The 5,347-nt window shown below is 52.5% G+C and overlaps 1 protein-coding gene across 3 annotated transcripts, besides 3 other annotated features; it reads right to left on the bottom strand.

The window, feature by feature from the left end:
- On the bottom strand, positions 191-4,423 carry AQP10 (aquaporin 10). Of its 3 annotated transcripts, none has more exons than XM_011510104.3 (6): positions 4,256-4,423; positions 3,457-3,586; positions 2,397-2,534; positions 2,157-2,275; positions 1,710-1,927; positions 191-1,234 (listed from the first exon to the last, which is right to left on the bottom strand). In XM_011510104.3, exons 1-6 carry the CDS (start codon positions 4,358-4,360, stop codon positions 1,036-1,038), a joined length of 909 nt encoding a protein of 302 aa, XP_011508406.1. In that variant the 5' UTR covers positions 4,361-4,423; the 3' UTR covers positions 191-1,035. The 3 variants fall into 3 exon arrangements, with proteins under 3 accessions (XP_011508406.1, NP_536354.2, XP_047289503.1); NM_080429.3 differs by having other exon boundaries at positions 3,457-3,583; XM_047433547.1 differs by lacking the exon at positions 3,457-3,586.
- Positions 431-510: a silencer, noted in NCBI's record as "silent region_1352". NCBI's record gives its function as "represses an Ori minimal core promoter by ATAC-STARR-seq in GM12878 lymphoblastoid cells {active_cell/tissue: GM12878}" and the evidence as "EXISTENCE:reporter gene assay evidence [ECO:0000049][PMID:35858748]".
- Positions 951-1,030: an enhancer, noted in NCBI's record as "active region_1776". NCBI's record gives its function as "activates an Ori minimal core promoter by ATAC-STARR-seq in GM12878 lymphoblastoid cells {active_cell/tissue: GM12878}" and the evidence as "EXISTENCE:reporter gene assay evidence [ECO:0000049][PMID:35858748]".
- Positions 4,453-4,644: a silencer, noted in NCBI's record as "fragment chr1:154293348-154293539 (GRCh37/hg19 assembly coordinates)". NCBI's record gives its function as "represses an EF-1alpha promoter that drives an FKBP-Casp9 reporter gene in an ReSE screen in HepG2 liver carcinoma cells {active_cell/tissue: HepG2}" and the evidence as "EXISTENCE:reporter gene assay evidence [ECO:0000049][PMID:32094911]".

The following is a 5,347-nucleotide window of genomic DNA, read 5'->3' as shown; positions in this document are numbered from 1 at the left end:
GGCGGCGGGGGCCGGGGGGCGGGAGGGGGTTTTGGGGAGGGGAGAAGGAGCGGGGAGGAGGGAGCAGCCATCTTTGTGCGGGGCAGTGGGAGGGTCTTAGCCCTTCCGAGCCTCGGCGTGGCTGGGCTGGGATGCCCCCACACGTACGTCCATCCGCATCTTAAAAGAAAAAACAATTCGGGAGGCTAGATCGCTCTGAGGGGGTATTTTTAATTCGGAAGAAGGGAATAGAGGAACACTGCCTTCTCTGCAAAACGAGCATCCTCTGCAGGGAGCGGCAGGAGAGCTGTAGAAGTGGTGAATAACCAGAATTTTCCCTGGCGCCAGGTTGCCCTCAGCCCGACTCTCGCTCCTCGGAGCCGCCCGCCCTCCGTTCCTTCACCCTCCCTCCTCGCCCTGGCTCATTTCACTGTATCTCAACTCTCCTTGAATGAACGACACAGCACCGAGATGTCTAGGAACGGTGCCTCAGTTTCACAGCCTTGCTCTCTGTCTCTGTGCCCCGCCGCCCTCCTTCCCTCCGCCCCCACCACGCCCCCTGGGTGGAGGCGGCTTCCCCACCCCTAACTACCCTCTTGGGGAGGCATCCCCGAGAGGGTGAAGGTGGGAGGCGCCGAGGCGATGAGAGCTAGGAGTCGGCAGTCGGGACAGGCTATGGAGGGCAGTCCCCAGGGTTGTGCCCTACACTGGATGGTGGCCCCCTCCACCCTGCAGATGCCCGCAGCCGTCCCCATCCAGCATCCAGGTGCGCACCCTCTAGCGGTTACCTCGAGCAACTACATTCCGAGAGGCCCTGAGGGTCAGAAAACCGCTTTGCGGGAGGAGGGGATGAGAAGCCTGAGTCCTGGTACCTTATCCTCCTCCACTTCTCCCTGTCCAGGATCCTTCTTAGTTTAGGAGGAAGGGATGCCAAACAGATAAACAGAGAAGCCTCCCAGGTTCTGGCACATTAACAAAGAGGAAGAATGACTGTTGTTCCCAGGCGGGGTCAGTGGCTGGCTCCAGGGTCCATGAGTGAAGTGAGGGTTGTCCTAATCATAGCTTACACTCCAGCATCTGAGCTGAGGCAGGAGTTTCCAACTCTGAGGCTTTGTGTTGAGCAGACACCAGATCCTGAGCTGGCTCTGGGCCCTCAGGGTGGTGCAGAGCCACCAACAGCTGGTAAGTGGCTGTGCCAACGGTGGCCCCCACCAGAGGGGCCACCACAGGCACCCACCACCAGCCATTACCAGCACTGCAAAAGAAGGACAGTGGGAAGGTATCAGGAGTGACTCCCTTAGCCTTCCCCTCTCCAAGGACGGGGGGCAGTAACAAGAGAGTGCCCTAAAGTTGTTCCCAGGGTGGTAGACACCAGGAAGAGGATTGCCTTGTCACCAAAGCATAGTATTTAGAAGAGGGAACCCCAGGAGAGCTTGGTCCAGCCTCTTGCCTTAGGGAATTATCTGAATATATTAATTTTGCTGATGAAGTCACTAATGTGCATGGAAGTAATGTGGCATGCCTAAGAACACAACCTCTAAATCTTACTGTTTCAGTGAAAAGTTGGGAGGGAAGCAAGGGAGAAAGGGGGAGAATATGACTTGGAGAAAGAACACTGTCCTAAGAAGCCAAGAGAGCTATTTTAAAGGCAGAGTGCTGTGGACCCAGGGACAGAGCCCTTAGCAGAGGAAGGTGAGTGGAGGCCAGCACCAGGAGAGTCTGTCTCCCACCTGAAGACTTCAGGACCCCAGCCAGCCACGTAGGTGAAGAGACGTGGGCCCAGGTCCCGGGCAGGGTTGAGTGGAATCCCGCAGTTGGCACCCATGGATAACCCGAGGGCCAGGATCAGCATCCCCACCACCACAGGCTCCAGACCCGCAGGGACTCCCTTGTTCCGTCTGTCCAGGATGGCCAAGAGCCCCACAATCAGCATCCCAGTGCCCAGAACCTTGGAGTCAACAGAGGCAGAGGGTTCCCTGTCAGCTGCCAGGTGCTCCATCTGCCCTCTCTCATCCAAATATTCCATGTCATCTGGCTTTGTGCAACACAGGCAGTTGGGGATGGTGGGGAGTGCCAAGATAGACCCAACCCACACTCCACCCAGAGACTGAACAATAGGCTGGGGTGCCGAGGAACAGGACCAAAGTAGTGTCCCCAGGTCTCCCCCTCACACTTACCTGATCCAGGAAGCCATTGTTCAGGGACAGATAGGGGGCAGGATAGGTGGCAAAAATGGAGGCTGTCTCCTTGGGGCCAGTCACTGTCAGGTTCCCACCTGTATAGTTCTGTAGGGCATCTGTGGAGGAAGGGAACACCCAGGATTTCCCTCTTTGCTCATTCATCCAAAACCATTCTGAGGCACCCCTGCCCACCCACAGGTGCTCTCAAGGCACAGCTCCCTCTGTTCCCTCTGTCACCATGGTAGAGAACATAGGTGGCTCCCGAAGCACAGAAAGCAGACAGCAACTGCACCAAGATGTAAATGGGGAGCTTGACCCAGGGGAGGCGTCCAACGATGCACATGGCCAGGGAGAAGGCTGGATTCAGGTGGGCCCCTTCAAGTATCAAGGAAAGAAAAAGAGCATCTATTAAGTGTCACTGCCAGGCATTGTCACCAGACAACACTACTGCTCCTTCCTATAGCTCTTAAGGCAGATAGTGTAATTCTCATCACACAGCTTAGGAAATTGAGGCTCCAGATGTTACAGATGTTAAGTGACTTAGCAAAGTCACACTGTGGGCCAGGCACAGTGGCTCACGCCTGTAATCCCAGCACTTTGGGAGGCCGAGGCAGTGGATCACTTGAGGTCAGGAATTCCAGACCAGCCTGGCCAACATGGTGAAACCCCGTTTCCACTAAAAACACAAATATTAGCCAGGCGTGGTAGCAGGTGCCTGTAAAATCAGCTATTCGGGATGCTGAGGCAGGAGAATCGCGTGAACCCAGGGGCAGAGGTTGCAGTGAACAGACATCACACCACTGCTCTCCAGCCTGGGCAACAGAGTGAAACTCCATCTCAAAAAAAAAGAAAAAAAAAAAAAAAAAAGAAGAAGACACTGTGAATCCAAAGTTGGAACCTAGGTCTGTCTGCTTTTTCCACAGCAACACACTATGTCTCAAGGCTCCACCCAAGCACACCGATGCAGTGTGTATCTGGGGTACAAACAGGAGAGGTCCTGAGTGGAGATGAGCCCCCAGAGGACTTCAGGTGGGGGATACAAGAGGATAGCAGCTGCCCTTCGTGCCCTGCCATTGATTTCTGTCTAGGTGAGCCAAGCATTAGTGTGAGGAAGCAGGATGGAGAGATACAGAAAGAGGAGGGGCTGGTGGGGCCAAAGGCTTATTTCAGTCTGGGACACTGTTCAAGGGGATAATGTCCACGAGTCACAGAAGGATTTGCGTTTCCACCATCACCAGACAGACAAACTGGCATGCACATCCCACGTGCTCTGATGACCAGACCCCACCCTCCTCACCTGAGACGTTACCACCCACGTAGATGGCTATCGTAACGGCCAGAGAGCCAGCCAGAAACATGGTGAAGAAGTTGCCTTTGGTTTCTCCACTGGTGACAGCCTGGGCCACAGCTCCTTGGGTGAGGAGCTGCTGAGAAGAGGAGAGATGAGGAACAGGGAGCCCAGGAGACCAACAGGGAGAAAGGTTGGGAAGGCCAGGGGAGCAGCCAAGGAGATGAATGAGCACAGAAGACAAGCAAGGGAAGGAGAAAAGCAGAAGGAGGGAAGGGAAAAGAAATGGGGAAAGTGGAGGAAGAAGAAAGGGAAAGAATGTGGGAAAAAAGAAAAGAATTTACCCAACTCATAGGCATTTGAGGGTACAAACCCATGGCAGGGCTCAGCTTTAAAAAGTCTTATCTAAGATTCTTTCTATGGAAGAGTTCCATCAAAGCCAATTTTAAAAGCCTATGTGAAAAATAATTATTCTTGCTGCACTTTATACAATCATCAGGCCAAGTATAATAAAGCACATTGGTCTTACCATGAAAATGGTCTTTCATAAAAATGGGAAACTGAAGAGAGAAAAATTATGTTTCAAGAACTATGATACACTTGTTATTAAAGAAAGAATAAAAATGACAAGAATAAAAATGATGAAGTAGGAGAGGAAAGGAGATTAGGAGAGACGAGAGGATAAAAACGAAAAGTGATAGGGAGTTGAGAGGAAGGGGGACACCAAGAGAAAGAGATAAGGACAACAGAAGGAGCCAGGAACTTTTGCCCAACCCCCTTCTTTCCTTCCCGCAGTGATCCTACCTACCATGAGTACAAACACACCCAGAAACTCTGCCAGGCACTGCCGGGCCAGGAGGCTGCGTATCCGGAGGTGGCCCATGATTTCAGCCGGGGCCTGAGTGAAGACCATGGTGGAAACACCCTATTGCTATTCACTGCTCCCTCTGTCTGCATAGGCACACTGTCACTGCACAGCTACTGCCTGCCTCCAGCAAAGATAAGGAACAGACTTTAAAACCATTAGCTCAGTTCCTGAACAGCAGCTACGTGTCTGTGCACGTGTGTAGGCTAGGAAACAGAGAGATAACAAGAGAATGTCTGGGAGCAGGCTATGAACACAGAGCCTGGAGTTTACCCAACCTCTGTCTCTTTTACCCTTCATTCCCAGTCATCACAGGACTAGCCTCCCCCATCCTGACAAATAGAAGGAAGTACCCCGCTTCATAGACATTAGATCTCTTGGTCCTGAAGTCAGCTCTGCAAAGTAGTACTATTGCTTCCATTCTACAGATGAGGCTAGTGGGCCTTAGAACTCCCCAAGATCAAACTTTTTTTTTTTTTTTTTCTGAGAGAGAGTCTTGCTCTGTCCCCCAGGCTGGAGTGCAGTGGCACCATCTCAGCTTACTGCAACCTCCACCTCCCAGGTTCAAGCAATTCTCCTGCCTCAGCCTCCCAAGTAGATGGGACTACAGGTCCATCACACCTGGCTAATTTTGATATTTTTTAGTAAAGACTTGGTTTCTCGGGAGGCCGAGGCAGGCAGATCACGAGGTCAGGAGATCAAGACTATCCTGGCCAACATGGTGAAACTCCATCTCTACTAAAATACAAAAAAATTAGCGTGGTGGTGCACGCCTGTAGTCCCAGCTACTCGGGAGGCTGAGGCAGGGGAATCACTTGAACCAGGGAGGCGGAGGTTGCAGTGAGCCGAGATTGTGCCACTGCACTCCAGCCTGGCAACAGAGCGAGACTTTGTCTCAAAAAAAAAAAAAAAAAAAAAGACGGGGTTTCACCATGTTGGCCAGGCTGGTCTCAAACTCCTGACCTCTAGTGATTCACCTTCCTTGGCCTCCCAAAGTGCTGGGATTACAAGCGTGAGCCACCGTGCCCGGCCCAA

Source organism: Homo sapiens, chromosome 1 (genome assembly GCF_000001405.40).
Source record: "Homo sapiens chromosome 1, GRCh38.p14 Primary Assembly".
Lineage (NCBI taxonomy): Eukaryota > Metazoa > Chordata > Mammalia > Primates > Hominidae > Homo > Homo sapiens.
The sequence above is the reverse complement of the archived record's forward strand: the minus strand, read 5'-3'. Positions and strand labels throughout refer to the sequence as shown.

Bases quoted from the DNA above. Each gene is read 5' to 3' on its own strand.
- AQP10 (XM_011510104.3), bottom strand. From the start codon at position 4,360: ATGGTCTTCACTCAGGCCCCGGCTGAAATCATGGGCCACCTCCGGATA. The intron at 3,587-4,255 runs GTAGGTAGGATC...TCCTCTTCTCAG, and splicing joins TGGGTGTGTTTGTACTCATG to CAGCTCCTCACCCAAGGAGC. The intron at 2,276-2,396 runs GTGACAGAGGGA...CTTCCTCCACAG, and splicing joins CACCTATGTTCTCTACCATG to ATGCCCTACAGAACTATACA.